Source organism: Homo sapiens, chromosome 7 (genome assembly GCF_000001405.40).
Source record: "Homo sapiens chromosome 7, GRCh38.p14 Primary Assembly".
In the NCBI taxonomy this organism is placed as follows: Eukaryota; Metazoa; Chordata; class Mammalia; order Primates; family Hominidae; genus Homo; species Homo sapiens.
In genome coordinates, this window is record NC_000007.14 from 96,136,250 (window position 1) to 96,156,907 (window position 20,658).

The 20,658-nt window shown below is 39.7% G+C and overlaps 1 protein-coding gene across 8 annotated transcripts in view, besides 3 other annotated features; it reads right to left on the reverse strand.

The window, feature by feature from the left end:
- Positions 1-20,658, reverse strand: part of SLC25A13 (solute carrier family 25 member 13) — a 201,879-nt gene that overhangs the window by 16,030 nt on the left and 165,191 nt on the right. For 6 of the 8 annotated variants that reach the window (NR_027662.2, NM_014251.3, NM_001160210.2 and 3 more), the window contains one exon: positions 10,307-10,447. Coding sequence is in view for 5 of the 8 variants with exons in the window: in NM_014251.3 (NP_055066.1) it covers positions 10,307-10,447 (141 nt within the window). In the remaining 3 variants the exon portion in view is untranslated. Of the gene's footprint in view, positions 1-10,306; positions 10,448-20,658 lie in introns of those variants that run through there. The other 2 variants (XM_047419714.1, XM_047419713.1) reach the window with 1 other exon arrangement.
- Positions 319-912: an enhancer, noted in NCBI's record as "VISTA enhancer hs2313; eDlx#23 fragment used in the reporter transgenes". NCBI's record gives its function as "enhancer in: forebrain[2/2] | limb[2/2] | branchial arch[2/2] | ear[2/2]; activates a Hsp68 promoter in the otic vesicle, forebrain, branchial arch and limb of transgenic mice, or an E1b promoter in the otic vesicle, forebrain and pectoral fin of transgenic zebrafish {active_cell/tissue: branchial arch | ear | fin | forebrain | limb | otic vesicle}" and the evidence as "EXISTENCE:transgenic organism evidence [ECO:0001131][PMID:17130149, PMID:22914741]".
- Positions 6,806-7,641: an enhancer, noted in NCBI's record as "OCT4-NANOG-H3K27ac hESC enhancer chr7:95772367-95773202 (GRCh37/hg19 assembly coordinates)". NCBI's record gives its function as "activates a minimal SCP1, AML or CMV promoter by ChIP-STARR-seq in naive and primed H9 embryonic stem cells {active_cell/tissue: H9 hESC(naive and primed)}" and the evidence as "EXISTENCE:reporter gene assay evidence [ECO:0000049][PMID:30033119]".
- Positions 7,642-8,476: an enhancer, noted in NCBI's record as "OCT4-NANOG-H3K27ac hESC enhancer chr7:95773203-95774037 (GRCh37/hg19 assembly coordinates)". NCBI's record gives its function as "activates a minimal SCP1, AML or CMV promoter by ChIP-STARR-seq in naive and primed H9 embryonic stem cells {active_cell/tissue: H9 hESC(naive and primed)}" and the evidence as "EXISTENCE:reporter gene assay evidence [ECO:0000049][PMID:30033119]".

Below are 20,658 nucleotides of genomic sequence, written 5' to 3' on the forward strand. Positions count from 1 at the left end.
CCACAATTGACACAGGCCAATTAGATAGGCTTAGAGATTCTGGCGGCAGCATATCATGGCAAAAGAATCATTTATTTTGCTTCTCATGCCTTTTTGATGTGGACACTGTGCTGAAAGCCCAAGGAAGCTTTAATCAATTCTCAAGTTGCTAGGATCGTCCACTCAAGTTTATTTTGCCAGCTCTGCCTGGTATGAAACTGTCAATAGATATAACACAACAGGATTTGTATCTCTCTTTCTCTCGCACGCATGCTGTTGCACATGCACAGCAATTTCCGATGTCTCTTTTTCTTCTTTTAAAACTCTTCATCTTGGATGGTAAATCACCTGCCCAATCAATCCAAAGTGGGGAAAAAACCAGTCCTGAAGGATGGTGCTGATAAAGAAGTCAGGGCCAGGGCAGGTCTTTTTGCATGCTAATTCCTGCTTATTCTAGCTGTACCTGCAAACACAGCTCTAAACAGACTATTTCTAATACAGGGAAAGGTAATTACACTCACAAAGGCACCTCTGTGTCGGGCCGGGCACCAGGAGCCAGCAGGTCTGGGAGACGGAGGCTTAACAGAGACTCCAGCAGTGAATGCACATTGTCTAGCACGGGGAAAATGCCAGACTGGGGACCCTGCAGCATTCAAGACAACAGTGGTGCACCTTGTCTGAGAAGGTTATTCAATGCTTCTGGCACCTGTCGTCAGAGCCACCCAGCCCTCTTTTCCTACCTTACAGGTTTAGAATTTATTTGGCATGTATAATTATATATTTTGATCCCAGAGCTACAAACAATGGGCAGCATGTCATGACTTGATCCCTTAGCATTCCTCTTGGCTTCCCCCAAGCAAGTTAACCCTTAGATACACAGCTTGGCAGTGCCTCTCCAGCCCAGTCAAAGGATGGTTAGACCCCACCTACATGGCTGAGATTTGAGGAGGGTGAGTTTGAGTGTCTTGCTGAGAAATAGCAATGGTGCCAAGACCTATTATGTGATTGTGTCACTTGTGTTAAAACCAAATAAGCCAGCCAACATTTGAAGACTTGATATCAGTGAACATGGAAATTACTTCAATTTGAATATGAAATATGAATGACTATTACTTGGCTTCTTTAATCCAGGGACTTTAGGGATATGGGTTCTCCTTAATTTCATTGCAATTCTAACAAAATCATCTTGACAACTCTGTTTCTTGTAGGAAATGCTGCTTGGGTCAGTGCTAGTTCTCTATTGTTCTAGTATTGTACACTGCTTTGCCATCAACAATGCTCATCACTGAGATGGACTGAAAATCCTAGACATGGTACAGAGGAATGTTATCACATGGAATTTTAGTCCTGAAGCTGCTAGTCATGTCACCTTCACAAAGCTCATCTGTAAAACATGTTCCACCTTTTCTTTATTTCTTTATTATTATTATTTTTTGAGACAGTGCTGGAGTGCAGTGGTGCAATCTTGGCTCACTGCAACCTCCACCTCTGGTTCAAGCAATTCTCCTGTCTCAGCCTCCCAAGTAGCTGGGACTACAGGCGTGCGCCACCATGCCCAGCAAATTTTTGTATTTTTAGTAGAGATGGGGTTTCAACATGTTGGCCAGGATGGTCCTGACCTTTTGACCTTGTGATCTGCCCGCCTCAGCACTCTCTGCTGTGATTCTGGGGGCTGCCTGATTCACGAATCATTCATTGTACAATTAAACTCCCTTACTTTGGCTGAAGTTTTACTTTTAACAAGACTAAACATTTACCACTTTTTTTGCTATTCATTCCTGACACATCTCCACCTGGGATCACCTTCCAGAATTTCCTTCATTAAGGTTCTACTGGTGACACACTTTCTGAGTTTTGCTAGTCTAAAAAATATCTTTACCCTTGTTCTTAAAAGCAATTTTTACAGGGTATACAAGTCTAGGTTGAAAAGTTTTTTTCCTCCACATACTGAAGACACCCCATTCAACTGTCTTCTGGCTTCCACTGTTGCCATTTTTAGGTTAGCCGTCAGTTCAACTGTTGCCCCTTTGAAGGCAAATTGACTTTTTTTCTCTGGCCACTAAAGAGCTTCTCTCTAGCTCTGGTGTTCAGCAGTTTTCCTCTGATGTGTCTAGTCTGGATTATTTTCAATTATCCTACACCTGCAATTTGTTGCATTTTTTTCTTTTTCTTTTTTTTTTTTTTTGAAACAGAGTCTTGCTCTATCACTTAGGTTAGAGTGCAGTGGTGCAATCATGGCTCACTGCAGCCTTGACCCCCTGGGCTCAAGTGCTCTTCCCCCCTCAGCCTCCCAAGTAGCTGGGACTACAGGTGCATGACACCATGTCTAGCTAATTAAAAAAATATTTTTGTGTAGAGATGAGGTCTCACTATGTTGCCCAGGCTGGTCTTGAACTCCTGCACTCCCAAAGTGCTGGCACTAGAATTATATGTTTCTCTTCTCTTGCCCCTTAACATAGATCATTTTTAAGGCAATGATACTGTACACATCTTTGGTACTCTAGCATCTAATAGTGTTAGCATTCAATATACATTTGGTGAAAGAATAAAAGAATGGTTAAAAAAATTGATCATTTGCTGTTACTTTAAGGAATCCTTTTTTTCTGGTGTCTTTAGCACACTCAATTCCTCTGGGCATTGTTTTATAAAAATAATATTTTTCAAGCCATCTCCTTTTAATTTGCTATTCTAAAGTTCAAAGCAGAAGACCTGGCCTGGAGAGGTTGTTGACCACACAGCATTGGAAATTACCCAGGACTGGAATAATGTGGAAGAAACTAGGTATTCCTGCAAGAATCCCTTAGTTGACACTCAATAATGAAAAGTTGATAACAACTAACACATCATGTGTACTATGTGCTCAACTCTATCCTGTATGCTTTACATGCATTATTTTAGTAAATCCACACAACGATACTATGAATAGGTAGGTATGATTATTATCCTCTTTCTACACACGAGTCAATGATTCATCTGAAGCACAGGGGAAGTTTCGTAAAAAGAAAAATTTTTTTTTCAAACTAAGTATTGGGTACTATGCTCACTACCTGGGTAACTGAATCATTCATATCCCAAATCCCAGCATCATGCAATATACCTGTGCAACAAACCCGCACATGTTCCCTCCAATGTAAAATAAAATTTGAAATTATTTTTTAAAAGTTCTTTTTTTTTCCAGTTTTTGTTTAATACAAGCTTTAAGCAGAGATTATGGACATTACATGACCTGTAGTATTTTTCAAATGTTCACACATATTAGATACAAAACCTGACTCCTTGAGGTATACTTGATACCCTCTCCTTAAATTTCTAAAAATCCTTCCTTAAATGAGAGAATAAAAGTCCATCAGGAGTAAGGCACAACATTTTTATTTATTTATTTACTTATTTCAATTTTTGATGTTGGTATATTTGTGAAAAGACTCAGTCACTCTCTCTCATACATCAAGAATATGTACACTTAGACACCTCATATGAATAGAATCATGCAGTATTTGAAGTTCTGTGACTGCCTTGTTTCACTTAATATAATGTCTTCCAGACTTATCCATCTCATTGCAAAAGCAGGATATCCTTCCTTTTTAAGGCTATAATATACCATATTTTCTTTATGCATTCCTTTGTTGATAGACATTTGGGTTATTTCATAGCTTGTCTATTGTAATAATGTTGCAATGAACCTGGTAGTCATCTCCTTCAGATATCTGATTTCCATTCTTTTTTTTTTTTTTTTTTTTTTTTTTTTTTTGAGACGGAGTCTCGCTCTGTCGCCCAGGCTGGAGTGCAGTGGCGGGATCTCGGCTCACTGCAAGCTCCGCCTCCCGGGTTCACGCCATTCTCCTGCCTCAGCCTCCCAAGTAGCTGGGACTACAGGCGCCCGCCACTACGCCCGGCTAATTTTTTGTAGTTTTAGTAGAGACGGGGTTTCACCGTTTTAGCCGGGATGGTCTCGATCTCCTGACCTCGTGATCCGCCCGCCTCGGCCTCCCAAAGTGCTGGGATTACAGGCGTGAGCCACCGCGCCCGGCCTGATTTCCATTCTTTTGGATGTACACCCAGAAGGGGGATTGCTGGATCATATAGTAGTTCTATTTTAACTTTTTGAGAAAACTCCATACTGTTTTCCACAGAGACTGTACCACTTTACATTTCTACCACCAAGGATCTCCTTTTTTTTTTTTTTTTTTTTTTTTTGAGACGGAGTCTCCCTCTGTCACCCAGGCTGGAGTGCAGTGGCACAATCTCAGCTCACTGCAACCTCCACCTCCCGGGTTCAAGTGATTCTCCTGCCTCAGTCTCCCAAGTAGCTGGAACTATAGGCACGTCCACCATACCCGGCTAATTTTTTGTACTTTTAGTAGAGATGGGGTTTCACCATGTTAGCCAGGATGGTCTTGATCTCCTGACCTCGTGATCTGCCCGCATCGGTCTCCCACAGTGCTGGGATTACAGGCGTCAGGCACCGCGCCTGGCCTACCACCAAAGATTTCAATTTCTCCACAACCTCACCATTGCTTATCTTTTGTTTTTTTTTTTTTTTGCTAATAGCTATCCTAACAGGTATGAAGTGCTATCTCATTGTAGTTATGATTTGCATTTCCCTGATGATTAGTGATGTTGAAAATTTTTTACATCCTTTTTTCACATACATACGTGTTGGCCATTGGTATGTCCTCTTTGGAGAAATATCTATTCTAGTCCTTTGCTCATTTTTAAAATCAGCTTCTTTTTCTTCACGGTAGCACCAGCTGATGTCATATTAATTTTGCGCATTCCTTTCTTTTTTCTTTCTTTTTTTTTTTTTTTTTTAGACACAGCATCTCACTCTGTTGCTAGGGCTAGAGTGTGGTGGTGCAATCATATAGCTCACCGCAGCCTCGAACTCCTGGGTTCAAGTGATTCTCCTGCCTCAGCCTCCCAAGTAGCTGGGACTACAGATGTGTACCACCATGCCCCGCTAACTTATATTTATTTATTTTTGGAGGGATGGTGTCTTGCTATGCTGCCTAGGCTAGTCTTGAATTCCTGGCATTAAGAGATTGCCCTGGCCTCCTGAAATACTGAGATTACAGACGTAAGGCACCATGCTCGGCCATATCTTTGTTCTCTTGATAGCTGCCCTGTCCTACCCAATATACTGTGAGCAGGGACTTGGCTTTAAACAGCCATCTCCTAAAGGCTGGAACAGTGCCTGGCACACAGTAAGCTCTCAATGAGTGTGTTGAGTGAGTGAATTAATATGATTTACATTTTAAATGGATCACTTTGGCTGCTGTGGCAACAGTGGATTTAGGAGAGTCAAGAGACAAAATAAAGAAAGCCCTGAAGAGGCTTTCACAGATGCTCAGATGAAGGATAAAAGTAGAAATGGATGGGTGAGAACTACCACTAGGCTGGTTGTAAAACCACAGCATGTCCCTGGGTATCAGAAAACTAGAATGGCAATGTGTTCTCAAAGTAGACTAAACAACTGCTTCCTTCAGGTCCGGCTGTGAGCACGTAAAAATACAAGTTTTTAAAAGATGATAAACTGAAGAATTAATCTTATGAGTACTTATATGTTACCAAGAAAAAAGGGATAAACTGAAAAAAACTGGATAAAATCTATTAACACTAAAAAGTGCACATGTCCTTTGACCTAACAACTTCAATGCTAGGAATTTATCTTTTCTAAGCAATCACAAAAGTATGTCAAAATATACATAGGGATGATCACCATGGCATTGCTTGATATATCTTCAAACTAGAAACATATTCATCAACAGCAAACAGTTAAACAAAAAAATTTCCATAGTTATTAAATAAAATGAGGAAAGAGCTTTAAGATATATTGTGTTTGAAAAGATTCTATTTGTGTTAAAACACAATTTTACTTAAGAAAAGTAAAATATTCTCCTTTCATTTTAATTTTAGATTCAGGGGGTACACATACAGGTTTGTTACAAGGATATATTGCATGATGCTGAGGCTTGGGCTTCTATTAATCCTGTCAGCTAGGTACTGAGCAGAGTACCTGAAAGGAAGCTTTTCAGCCCTTTCCTCCTTTCCTCTTTCCCTTCCTCCTGTTGGTGTCTTTGTGCTCATGTGTACCCAAGGTTCAGCTCCAACTTACAAGTGAAAATGTGATATCTGGTTTTCTGTTTCTGCATTGATTTGCTTAGGATAGTGGCCTGCAGCTGCATCCATGTTGCTGCAAAGGATATAATTTAGTTCTTTTTTATGGTTGTCTAGTACTCCATTGTGTGTAGTTTCCACATTTTCCTTATCCAATCTCCTGTTAATGGTAACCTAGGGTGATTCTATGTCTTTGCTATGGAAAACATACATACTTTTCTGATGCTGATATTCGTAAAATTTTTGAAAGAGAAATACTAATCTGAGCAGAAAGTTTTTCTTTTTTTAAGGATATATTAATATAAAATCTTCAGCAGTGGCTATCCTTTGAAGAGAATGGAGCAGTAAAGGGTAGAGAGATAATTTTACTTTTCTTCATACACCTTTCTAAATTACTTGATTTTTTTGAAATATAAATTATATTTTACTTTTTAAACTAAAAAAATCAATCTCTCTTTGAGATAACTGGCAGAATAAATAAGAATGTACTGATATATCATAACTTGCTTTCTGAGTTTATGAACAATAGCTCCAATGAATCATTTATACACACATTATAGATGAACACATGTATACAACATTTATGTATATGGATAAAAATATCTTTGAATACTGTCAAATGCAGTGGAAAAAAACAACGCCTTTGATTAGAACACAGCAGACAGAGTCCATATTCCTAAGTGACCCTCCAAGGTAGAATCAAGGTTTAATTTGTGATTATAGAATTTGAAAACTTTTCAACAGTGCTTGATGGATCCCAGCTGTCATTGCTTCACTGACCATGTTTTGTACTCAAAAAGAGACATGGACAGTTCCACTGCTTCCTAACGAAGCGTCTTTTTGGCCTAATTAGCTGTGCTGCCATTTACTGTTAAATGATAAGTTTCATTCCATTCCTAAAGTATAATTTGTCCCCTCATTAACGCTCTGACAGCTCCTACGGAAAAGGTAATGTTCAAAAGTAGATGGATACAACTTTTTTTGCTATGTTAAGTTTATTTGACTTTTATTTTTATGCTCCAGGGGTTTATGCAATAAAACAGAAGTTATGCAGGGAAAGGGAAATACATTCTCATAATTCTTTTTAAAAAGAAGTAGACATTGCAGATTTGTTTTCTTAGCTACATTACATTCAAATAGCTCTTTCAAAGGCAATTAATTATGCTGCCTTCACTTCAGTCACCTACATCCTCTGTGCTATAACTAAATCTCTCTAAATGTTAGCATTTTAGAGGGGGGCTTTATTTACATTGTTTACTATATTTGTGCTAAACTATTTCTTACTTTAGGAATGCAAAATGTTTACCATTTTCCACTTTTTTTCAGTTGCAAATGTATTTCTAAAACAAGTATTCTAATTGCCACTTACTGGGAAGTCAGAATAGTTTGCTTATTTTGCAAGTCAATACAGAAGAAAAACAGAAAGCCTGATTTTCCAATTTAGGTAAGGTTAAAGCTCAGCAGGCCTAAACACACAGACAGAGCCAACCACTCACCCTTCTTGGGTCTGGCATTGTAATGTTAACAACAGAAACAAAAGAACAGAGGGAAGGAGAAAGATTACCTGTCTCAACTAAATCTAGGACAGTGGTTCTTCTTTTTAAAGACCCACCTGGAGGGACACATACCAGGTTTAAAAGTACTGTGTGAGGTCACCCCTAGTCATTTGCATTTTTCTAGCCAACCAGGACTAGAAACAGAAAAGCTTTATTACTAAAAAGTGCTATCCTGAAACAAAAACACATTAAACTACAAAGCAATGCTAATGCTGTGATGCTCCCTAGAAAGATGGATCTTAACCTGCTGTGATGTCTGACCACGTAAAGGTGAAGTGGGGTGGGGCTGGAGAAGAGAGGTTCACATGAAACAAAGCCCAAGACAGAATGCTGGGAATATATAAATGAGGACCAACCAGACTTGTAATACAAGAGCTAATCAGACTGAAAGGAGACCAAACCACAGAGGTCAACATCTGCTGAATGAAATCCTGACTCCCGGGTCTCTGAATGTAGCTGATACTGATGACCAACAGGAAGATAGAGATTACTAGGTCACTTTCTTGCAACAAAATCAAGGTTCCAGAAGCTCAAAGCATTACTGATTTTCTTGGTAATTACCAGTACACCAAAAACAGCATTTTAGAAGGGAGCACCAAGCCCTGTGGAATGCTTCTGAACTAGATTAAACTACTAGACTAGTAATTAAACTAACTTCATATGGGAGAGTTCTCTTGCTCAAACTTGAGCAATCCTGCTCATTTCAGGAAAGCAATTTTAGCACAAAAGTGGAAACAAGAAACTTCTGAGCCTCAATTTCAGCTCAGATACCATGGTTGGCAGCCTCTATTCACCTGAACTACAAAACCAGGATACCAACTACTTCCAAGAAGTGTTAAAGGGGATTAAGATTATTAAATAATGTGAAGATGAAAAGCACTAAGTCCCAGTATTGTATCATTTGCAGGTAGTTTAACAGTCTCTGTTTCTGTATCAGCAAACAAGTTCCTACCATTTTACTCATCTAGACATTTCAATAACAGTCACTGCCACAGTACCTAAGTGCTTTTTACCAGACAACCCATTGAAAGACTCCTGGCATCTTGTCAAAATGACATGCTGCTACATCATATTACAGACTGCAAGAGCCTAAAAATTTAGAAAAGATGATTTTTCTTCAAATTGATCAATGCTATGCCTCATGACAACAGTGTTTATTTTTTACAGCTGGGTAATAAATTGGTAAGCAAAATAGCTATAGAACATTGTGTTATATTGTAGAATCACAGATTGAGCATTTTAAGTTCTACTTAAAAAAACAGCAGGTTTATTCCTAAGTACCACATATGCCTAAATATAAGGCAAAATTTTCCCCTGCTAAAATTAATCCCAGAAAAGAGGGCATCACTTTATATTCAATCTTCACAAAGTCTCAGATCATGGAGTACTCTTTCCAATCACTTGACCTGGAGAAGCAGAGTACCATTCGGGGAAGGGAGATTCTCCTGAGACAGCCACAATTATTACTAATTCTGGATGTTTACTGAGGTCACTTGCAAAACTCAGGTTAGAAAGAAAAAGAGTAAAAAAGTATTTCTGGGAGGAGGATCTCACAAATACTGTGTCAAATGTCAAAACAAGTCATTTCAAGTTTACTCTAGCAATATGGTAAGTTGTTACATTATGGGGACCAGTTATATCCATTCAGGATTAACTGGGAATAGGAAAAAAGCAATTGACTGTCTTAATATTATGTGTCTATGGGATAAAATTTGCAGGAACAATATCATACATAAAAGTCAAAAATGCTTCAAATTACAAAGCTTGGGATAAAAATGAAGACAATGTATTCTGCAAAACCATGCTAACAGATGACCTAAAAAGTGGGTTAAATGGAGCTCAAGATGCTGATTCAAAATTCATGAATAATTTTAATATTTCTTGATATGTGTTTATAGAAACAAAGCAGTATTAATTTTATATAATGTGACTGTATACATTTCTGTGTAAATAAATGAAACTATCTTAAGTAGACATTTTATTTTTCTCCCATATCCCTAAAGGTTTACTTAGTCAAGCTAGCGTAAAATGTTTTTTTAAAAAATTCTTCATTGAAAACTTGTGTATACATTATGTTTGATAAAGCCTTATAGGTTGGCATATAGGCAGACAGTTCTAGTAAATTCCATTATAACTTTTTGGTAGAGCAGTATGAATAAAAAATTTCAAGAATCATCTAGAAGTTTGGTTTTGTAATCATTCTGAAAAAACATTTTCTAAATGAAAAATGATTAAGATTTATAATAATTAAGACAAGGCATACATATATAGAGAAAACATGGATCGGACCATATGCATAGGATCAGAAAATAAATTATGATACAGGTTTCTCCTTGAACTGAACTCAGCGTATCAATAACAAATCCAAATAAAATTCTAGCCAGTGTTGCTGCAAAGAGCTGCACTGAACAACTCTAGAGGGCACGATTCCTATCATAGTCATCCTAGATTTGTGTATTGATGAGGATAGTTTTTTGGCAGATGGCAGGAAGGGGCACCTCCTTCTAATTGGCATGAAGGTGCCTCTGCAGCTTGGGTAGAACATCTTCTCCAGGTGTAGAAATGCAAAAAAAAATGGATTTCATGTTGAAGAATAGTTTCTGCATTAGGAGATGAGAAAGTAATCAAATAAATGACTAAAAAAAAAAAAAAGTTACCTTGTAGATCCCAAAAAACCCCAGGTCCCGCACGACAGACAGAGCACTGACTCGAGGACCAGTGGTGATTTCTCCTGCCACTTGCAAACGGATCTTGACGATTTCTAAAGGATTTGTGAAAATCACCTGGGAGCCTCCAGCCTAAAAAGAACAAAAAAGATTTAGGATCAAAGCAAAGAAATGGTAAGGTGGGTCAGGAAGAGATGAATGATTATTCTCAAGGATAAAAATATTCTATCCTCAAGAGAATGTAGTTTCAGCCCTTGTCCCATCAATCAAAACGGTTAGGGATTACAAGTATGAATCAAAATACAGTTACTGCCTAGGAAGAAGCCCTATGTCCTTAATGTGGAGGCTGAAGGAGGGCAAAGACCAGAGATTTCTGTTGACCTCCCCAAGTCCTCACACTGAAATTACAAATGCTCCTTGAAGCACAAACAACTGCCACCACAGGACTCAAAGCCAAGGGCACAAAGGCAGTAATAAAATGAAAAGCATTCGTATCCAAATGAGGAGACACAGAACGTATCCAAATGAGGAGACACAGAACGTATCCAAATGAGGAGACACAGAACAGAACGGGGACTAGGAGGACAAAGGCTCTTGAATGATGAATTTCATGATTCTGGCAACGATTCAAAAACTGCCAGCGAACACGTAAACTTAGATGAAAGTTATTATTTTTTTCTCTTAGAAACTCAAGTCAATCATCAAATCTCATTTTATGGAGTTACATATTCTTAAAATTTTTGTTTATGTATTACTTGTGTACAGAATTGCTCTTTTCATATGAGATAAGTGGTATATGAAAGTAGCAAAAATATGCACTAAGTCAATTACCAACCAAACTTTGAACATCGTGTGTTATTTCATTCCAGCAATGGCTAGATGCCTCACCTCCAAGATCATCAGTGAAATCTTTAAAGTACACTATAAGGGAAATTTTAAGCTAGCTATTTTGAAGCTAAGCCTATATTTATCACAAGCAATTACATTCTTTCTTACTGTACTTCAACTTGTTATTCCTTGTCACACATATATGAAATTTTTATATCATCCAAACTATACTGTACTAATTAGAACTAGCTACAAGGATGGCCTTTGAAGTATTATTTATAAAAGCTGGAAAGAAAAATTAGAAACAACATAAATATCTAATGGTAAGGGATGGGTTAAATGAACTTGAGTATGTTCATGCATGGAGATACTATGCAGTCAACAGTGAAAAATGTTCAATATATACTTTTAAGTAAAAATGCTCATATGTTTAAAATACTGGTACACATTTCCCCCTGCCATCCCCTACCACCATGTGGAAGAAATACACCAAAGTGGTGCTTCTGAAGTGGTGGGATTACAAGTATCTTTCTTTTCCTTTTTTTTTTTTGATGTATTTGAAATTTTTTCTATATAGATCATGTGTGACTTCCATAAAGAAAAATAAACACCTATACACAGTTTACCTAATATGTGTAATGTTAATGAAAAGAATCAAAGAAAGATGTTCGTTCATTAACTCTCTAAATCAAATTGTTTTTCCATTTTTACCAACTTGATACCTTAATCAAGTCACTCTTGTTCTTCCTTAAGTGCAAATGAATTTTTTGTTTGGGTTGGGGGACAACACAAAATACCAACCTGGGTTGGATTCACTGAAAGGCCCAAGAAAGGGCCTTAGTCTAGGAAGTAGAGTGTGAGATGATACACCCACAGGCTGGTGCATTCTGGTCCACACAAAGACGTGCTGCTCCCCGCCCTACTGCTCAGAACAGCTCTGTTTTGCTCAGATGCTGCTGCTGCAACCTGCAGGTCCATGAGAAGAACAACTCCCTGGTTGTTTACAGCCCGTGAGTGTTTTGTGAATTTGCACCTACATTTCCCATGTGATATGGACTCAGCTATTTACGGTTGGCAGAATGATGAGTTGAAACACACCTAACCAAGTAACCATGTGAGAGGCACGGTAAGGATTTTCTCTGTGTTTCTGAACCAGAACTCTTCATACGAAAATCTTATGAATAGTTAGAAAAATGAATAGAAATTTAAAATGTAAAGATTGTTTTATGGGGGTAGAATTGCTGAGAAAGATTCACCAGGTTGGAATTAGCCTGAAGCCTGATTTTTTGAAGCTCAAAAGAGGGTAAGACCATCTCTATCCAGGGTAAAATGCAAAGTAATCAGAGAAACCAGTCTTCTTGGAAGAGAGAAGAGGCATACAATGCATATTCATCCAAGCACTGCCAACAGCAGGGAAGGAGGCAGTTGAGTGTCCCACATGAAGGCAGAGCTTCGGTCTCCCTATTTGTCAAACCATCTCACTTACTATGAAGATAAAAAGAGATGGAGAATGTACAGGAGCCAGCACAGTGCTCAAGACAGAGCCTTTACTCCAGTTGGTTTCTTTCCCTTTTTCTCCTACGCTGATGTTTTCCTCCATAGATGCATGTTACAATCACTTGCAGACCTTTTTAAAATATAGTGACCTCTGGACTTCAGTCCTGACAGTTTAATAAGAATTTCTGCATCTGTCCTTGCTAAAATTTTCCTATGAGATTACCATGTGCAGTGAGGCTGAGAATCCCTGCACTACACCATCTGCACTACACCATCTCTAGAATCTCTGTCAATTCTGAGAATCAGCTTAACTGGCTTCTTGAATGCCACAGTTTCTAATCCCAGTCTTCCATATCATTTCACGAATAACTTTTATTTGTTTTACATCTGATCTCACAACAAACTCTTTCTACATATCCAAGTGGTGCTGTTATGAAAGGGTACAATTCTTAGGTACGGAATTGTCTTATTATCTCTTATCTTTACTAACACTGGTAAAAGTTGCTAGCATTATATACAATAAAACAAGAACTTACACTCAACTCCCTGACTCCAAGCCAACCAACAGATAACAATTCTTTTAAAGCAGAGTTAGTTATCACTAGGGATGATGAGGAGTCAAATCCACTTCAGAGAGCTGCAGGAGGCAGATGCACGGGGAAGAAAGAATGTAGTGATATCAAGAAAACATAATGATGTACCCATTATCTGTGGTGGCCTCTGAAAGAAAGAACCTACAGACTCAAAGTGGCACATTGTAAAGGTGCTGAAGATGAAACAGGCCCTTTGGAGTCGAACTGGAAGGAAATGAGAGACTCCAAGGCACCAAGAGAAGATGCTTATCATCAGATGCATGGTGTCTGGGTCTCTCCACGACTTGATCACTGAGCAGCACACTGCGTGCCGCTCTTCCAATTCCTGGTCTATTATGCATTCACAGTACCATACCCATGGTTCCTCTTTTGCAGAGATCAAAGATAGCTGAATCGGCAGACAATGGACAGGAACACCTATTGTGCACAATGTCTTTGCGTCCCTCATCACTTGAAAGCTCTGGCTGTGTGAAGATACTGTTTTTTTTGTGTGTGTGCAATTTTGTCACAAATCATTTCCCTATGACTTACTGGAGTCTGTGGCAAGTAGGACATGGGAAAATATTCCATACTGAACTGGCTCAGTGTGGCATATTATATTTACAGCGGTAACACTGACTTTTCTACATGTTTCCTGGTATACTCTTTGTTATTGAAATCTTAGTTATCATCTAGTATCTGGATCCATCTAAGAGAGAAAGAGAAATGCATACAATTATTATAGACTCACTTCTGCTATTTGATTTTTCATTCACCAAATATTTATAAGCAATTCAAAGTTTGTCCTAGAACTGCAAGGACACAAGATGCTTTATTCTCATTCTCAAGAAGCTTGAAGTAGTAAGGGTAGAAGTCATGAATATTCATTAAACATCTATTATGGGGTATTAAGGTGTTGCTTTGCATATATTACATATTTTCAGTCCACTCAAGAGGTACTTTTTGCAGATTTTACATAAGAGGAAATTGAAGCACAGAAAGATTAAAGCAACTGTTATGGGCTGAACTGTGTTCTACCAAAAGTCATAGTTGAAGTCCTAACTCTCAAATATTTCAGAATGTGACTATAGTTGGAAACAGGGCCTTTAAAAGAGAAATTAAGTTAAAAAGAGGTCTTTAGGGTGGGACGTAATCCCATCCAACTGGTTTGTTACAAGAAGAGAAAACTGAGACACAGACATGTAGGACACAAAAGAGAAGACACAGGGAAAAAGCGGCTATCTACAAGCCAAAGAGAGAGACCTCAGAAGAAACCAACCCTGCCAACACCTTGATCTTGAACTTTCAGATTCTAGAAATGTGAGAATATAAATTTTCTGTTGTTTAAGCCACCTAGTTTGTGGTATTTTGTTTTGGTAGCACTAGCAAACTAATATAGCAACGTACCCAGGGCTATATAGCCAGCAAGCAGAGGAAAGGATTTTCAATGGAGTTCAGTAACTATATGCCTCATAAATACAGAAAATGGGACATGAGAACAGATAATTATATGATAAGATCCAAGGTCCAGACAAACTGATATGACAGTTCAAAGGAGGGCAAGAGCTCTCCTGGCTGGGAGGTGATTAAGCCAGTGAGAAGGTAACATGTTAGCTGGGGACTACAGTGTGATTAGGATTTTGGTAGTCCAGGCAGAGAAAGGCACAAAGGAACAGTGACAAGGGCATATCACACTTATATGGGTAATATACCCAGCATCACTTCTGCCAAGCGAAATTTTAATAAGGATGATAATTATGATGAGATCAACATCATCATCCTCTAGCATTTATTGAGGCTCCTCTAGCTTACTAAGTACCAGGGATTGTGGTAAGAGTTCTATAAGAATTCTTGGGCCAGGTGTGGTGGCTCACACCTGTAATCCCAGCACTTTGGGAGACCAAGGCAGGTGGATCACCTGAGGTCAGGAGTTCAGGATAAGCCTGGCTAATATGGTGAAACTCCATCTCTACTAAATACACAAAATTAGCTGGGCATGGTGACGCACACCTGTAATCCCAGCTACTCAGGAGGCTGAGGCAGAAGAATCACTTGAACTCGGGAGGCGGAGATTTCAGTGAGCCAGGATCGTGCCACTGCACTCCAGCCTGAGCGACAGAGGGAGATTCTGTCTCAAAAAAAAAAAAATTGTTTTTTGGTCTTCATAATATTATAAGGTAAGTAATAAGATAAATAATAGGTCGGGTGCAGTGACTCATGCCTGTAATCCCAGCACTTTGGGAGGTCAAGGCAGGTGGATCACCTGAGGTCAGGAGTTTGAGACCAGGCTGGCCAACATGGCTAAACCCCATCTCTACTAAAAATACAAAAAAATTAGCCGGACATGGTGGCAGGTGCCTGTAATCCCAGCTACTCAGGAGGCTGAGGCAGGAGAATCACTTGATCCCGGGCAGCGGAGGTTGCAGTGAGCCAAGATTGTGCCACTGCACTCCAGCCTGAGTGACAAAGCAAGACTCCGTCTCAATAAAAATAAATAAATAAATAAAATCCTGGTTTCAGTGAAGAAACTGAGGCTACAAAAAGTAAAGGAGGCTATTTAACATGCTTGGAGTCATGCAGCTAGGAAGGTGAACCTTGGATTCCAAGCTCAAGTGGCTGGATGCCAGCGGCACACTTACAGTTCTTATCATGGCAGCCTTTTGCTCTAGATGGCATGGAGAAGGGGTATGAAAGAAGGTGGCTGAAAATAAGATTGCTGGAGCCAACTCATGGAAGGTCCAGGATGCTGCCTAGAACAGGCTGCATTCTGGAGATGGTCTGTGCGACTATGTAGCAGCAGGAGAGCTGGTAAACACAGCTTAGGAGCTGTAGAGGTCTGAGCATTATCTATGCCTTGGGAAGATGCCTAGGGAGCAGAGGGGAGAGGGCTCATCCGGGAGGCAGAGCCTGAGGCAGGGATCACAATTAGGTTGTTAGCCGACTAGGTGAGTGATAAAAGGCCAGAATTAGAACAGTCATATCTATACTGAATAGAGGTGGCTGGGTAATGGATGCAACAGAGACCAACAGGATTTGGCTGCTGAATATAGGGCAAAAAGAGTGGGTAAGCTCAAAGAAAGGATCCAAGTTTTTGCTGTGTAATAGGAACAAAGTGTTGGAAAGACGAATAATGACACATTCAGAAGGCAGTGGAAGGGTGAGTTAAGAGGGATGAGAGACACAGATGAGGGCATCACTCCACATATATAACTGAAGGCAGGGGTTTAGATAAGGTGGGAGGATGAAGAAGAAAAATGGAAAGTGGCGAGAGACCATGAAGTGATGAAAAACCTCTGCTATACACCGGTGGTACAGCAATCCAGGCACAAGAGTTAAGAACAGGGCTTCCAGAAGTGAGAAGGCGAAAGGACCAACAATGTCTACTGACACAGGGAGGCAAAGTCCAGCACATGGGGTGACCTAGGATTGGAACGAGAATGCTGGGGAATGAGAGAGCTGTGTAGTCTACTTGCAGGGGAAGGGAAAGTGAGAAAATGACAGTAGTTTATGAGAGCAATCAAGAGACAATGACAATTCATTTAGGGTAATTAAGGAGAAAATATCTAGGGGGAAGAGAGTGAAAAGATAAAACTACTAGGGATAATTATGCTGTGCTTACGCATAACAGTACAAGTTCTGAATGGAGGAGTGAAAGGTAGAACATGAAGAGTTTGCATTTGCTTTAGTGACATACAGAGTTGGGGGATAAATTTGTTACAGAGCAGAAACTGACAAATCATAGTTGTCCTTACTATTTATGCTTTGGAGATTTAAAAAAATCAAACAGAATCGAATTTGGCACAAGAACAACTAAAGTTCTGATGCATAAACCACATCAGCAACAAAAGACCCCTTCAGAATCAATAGTAAAATAATATTCTGGCTCTCCATAGGAAGTTATGATTAAGTTACTGTGATCTGTAACACAGAAGAGAAGATGAAGCAGCTGATGACCACAGAGGTGAGTTCATAGGCTCACACATTCTGTTCCTCAACTCAAAACAGGTTAGAAGGTACAGCAGGTGGCCATGTGTTTAAACAGGGCTTAGGGCTGCACATCTGCACTGGGCTGCATACCTGCACCTGGCTGCAGGGGACCCAGAGCTGCAGGCAGCACCACAGCGGGTTCTCTATTAAGAGTCACTGTGTGCACCCACGACTGTAGAAGATAAATTACTAAGTTCAGTGCCATGTGTACTCTCACCCAGGCTATTATCAGGAACTGAGGAACATTTTATTGCCCACTCTATTAGTATTGAATACTAGCACCAGTGTAAACAAACTTTTTGTAGCATTTTTCAAAAGGGGACCCGACATTCAAAAACATTATATATCTTTATTAGAGGAGAACAATAGAACTGGTACACCAAAAGAAATCTTACATATTTTTATTCTTTTACAAGTGGCATTAATAAAGAATAACTTAACATGAAATATATAGGATCAAAATGAAGAAAAAATGTATTGTTTTAAAGGCACATAAACATTTGAATGAAAGAGAAATAAGTATCATTAGATTCAATGTTGCAAATACGTCACTTGGGCTATAAATTTAAAATGCAAATTTTCCTAAAAATGATTATAACAGTCAAATATTATAACTTTTTCCTAAGTTAATCTAAATTCAAAGCAATCCTCCTAAACAAAACCCCAACAGGGTTTCCTGAAGATGTCTGAAGACAGGAATATTCTGAATAAAAAATCGTGTAGAGGATCTTATATCAGTACACATTTACACACATTTTATAAAGTGTCAGAAATTTTTAAAGTTTAGCACAAGACTAGATAAATGGAAAGATCCAAATACGTAGAGTCACAGAGTCACTGAGTGTCTTTTTTTTTTTTTTTTTTTTAAGACAGAGTCTCACTCTCTTACCCAGGCTGGAGTGTAGTGACATGATCTTGGCTCACTGCAAACTCCATCTCCCAGGTTCAAGCGATTCTCAGGCCTCAGTCTCCCAAGTAGCTGGGACTACAGGTGCGTGCCACGACATCTGGCTAATTTTTGTATTTTTAGCAGAGACAGGGTTTCACTAAGTTGGCCAGGATGGTCTTGAACTCCTGACCTCAGGTGATCTGCCTGCCTCAGCCCCCCAGAGTGCTGGGATTACAGGCGTGAGCCACTGCATCCGGCCGAGTATCTTAAAAAGGTAGATAAAATGTGCTACTTTGCACACAGTCAATGGTAGAGTGGACTCCTTCTACTTGTAGCTAGGAGTCCCTCTGACCAACTCACATATCTGGTAACATCCTAATGAGTAATGCGATGGTTTACTCATCTTTTTCTTTTAAAAGAGGATGACGAGTAGGCTGGTTTTGATACATTTCAGCATCTTTTTCTTTTTTTTTTTTTTAAGACAGAGTCTCTCTCTGTCACCCAGGCTGGAGTGCAGTGGCACAATCTTGGCTCAATGTAACCTCCGCCTCCTGGGTTCAAGTGATTCTCGTGCCTCAGCCTCCTGCTGTAGCTGGGATTACAGGTGTACGCCACCATACCTGGCTAGTTTTTTTGTAATTTTAGTAGAGATAGGCTTCGCCATGTTGCCCAGGCTGGTCTCAAACTCCTGGCCTCAAGTGATCCACCCACCTTGGCCTCCCAAAGTGCTGGGGTGACAGGTGTGAGCCACTGTACCAGGCCCAGCTTCTACCAATTCTTGCTTCCCAGAGGTCTCATCTTTTTCTCTTTATTGAGAGTACATAGTTAATCAAGAGGTCCTGGATGCTGGAGGAATTTGAGTCTGAAAGTACACTTGCGGAGGGAGGCCCAAATTTCTGCAAAAATTCAGTGGCTGGTATGAGACTTCTCTCTTACCAGTTGTGTAAGGATTTTTTTTCAAAGGCTCCATTTCCAAACTGTGATTCATTATGTATGAAGGATCTTCTAGCAGAGGGAAAGATATCCCAGTAGTGAACCCCAATTATTTTTTCCTCCCCAGAGTGTTTTTCGTCCTCCTTCTTTTCTTTGGTTTTCCTATGCAGTAGATTATTCCTATCGTTCTGCCCTTTATAGGACCTGAAGGCTGTGGCTCTGCCCACAGTGATCTCTGCACTGATTATTTCCAGTCAGCCCTCTAACAATGTACACTTCACCCATGTCTGCCCTCTAGATCCCTTTCTGGAAGGATGTGATTTTCCAGCTACTAAGTGGGAGCAGTCATCTTGAGACACTTTTCAAGAACAAATTACCCAGCAGTGTGACCAGAAAGAAGAGATAGCTGTAACTACTTGAATAACTACGGCCCTGCAAACTCTCTCTTCTCCCCTCCTCTCCTTCCTGGAGAAGCAAGAGCCAGACACGTGTCAAGCACTTCTGATGTAGGAGGCACTGTGCTAAACTCTTCACAGACATCATCTCCTTCAATCCCCCAATCATGCTGACACAAGCTATATTATTCCCATCTTTCTAGAGATGAGATGGAGGCAGAGACTTCTCTTCAAGGTAGTAAAAGAATGTGAACGCGACTTGCCCAATTTCTAACCCACGCTCAGAACCATTACGCCTAGTTGTCTCTTGTGAAAAAGCAGATTCAATACAACAATTCATTTTCAGTTTTTTCTTTCCTGTTTGAACGGAGTAGCTGCCTGAATTTTTGGTTAATCTGATCATATGGACTAGAATTCCTGTGACTTTAAGAGCTTCTAAGAGATAAAGATAAACCAATGGATTCAGTGACATTAAAATACATCAAGTAATATGGAAGAGATGTTTTTGTAGGTACAATATAACTGATTTTCATCAGATATATCAAATTTTTCTTTGTAGGTTAATCAATAATGAGAAAGCCAGGCTACTTGGCAGTAAAATCCCCAAATCTGAATCCTTGAGAAATATTTTATTTATTTATTTATTTTGGAGACAGAGTCTTGTTCTGTCGCCCAGGCTGGAGTGCAGTAGTGCAAACTCAGCTCACTGTAACCTTCGCCTCCCAGGTTCAAGAGATTCTCGTGCCTCAGCCTCCCAAGTACTTGGGACTACAGGCGCTCGCCACCATGCCCAGCCAATTTTTTGAGACAGAATCTCCGTCTGTCGCCCAGGCTGGAGTGCAGTGGCATGATCTTAGCTCACTGCAAGCTCTGCCTCCCAGGTTCACAGCATTCTCCTGCCTCAGCCTCCCAAGTAGCTGGGAATACAGGCACCCGTCACCGCGCCTGGCTAATTTTTTGTGTTTTTAGTAGAGACGGGGTTTCACTGTGTTAGCCACGATGGTCTCAATCTCCTAACCTCATGACCTGCCCGCCTCAGCCTCCCAAATTTTTGTATTTTTAGTAGAGACAGTGTTTCACCATGTTGGCCAGGCTGGTTTCAAATTCCTGACCTCAAGTGATCCACCTGCCTCGGCCTACCAAAGTGCTGGGATTACAGGCATGATACACCATGCCCAGCCGTGAGAAATATTTTAGGCTCAAAAATATATAACTAGTGACAGTTTTAATTTTCTTCAAATG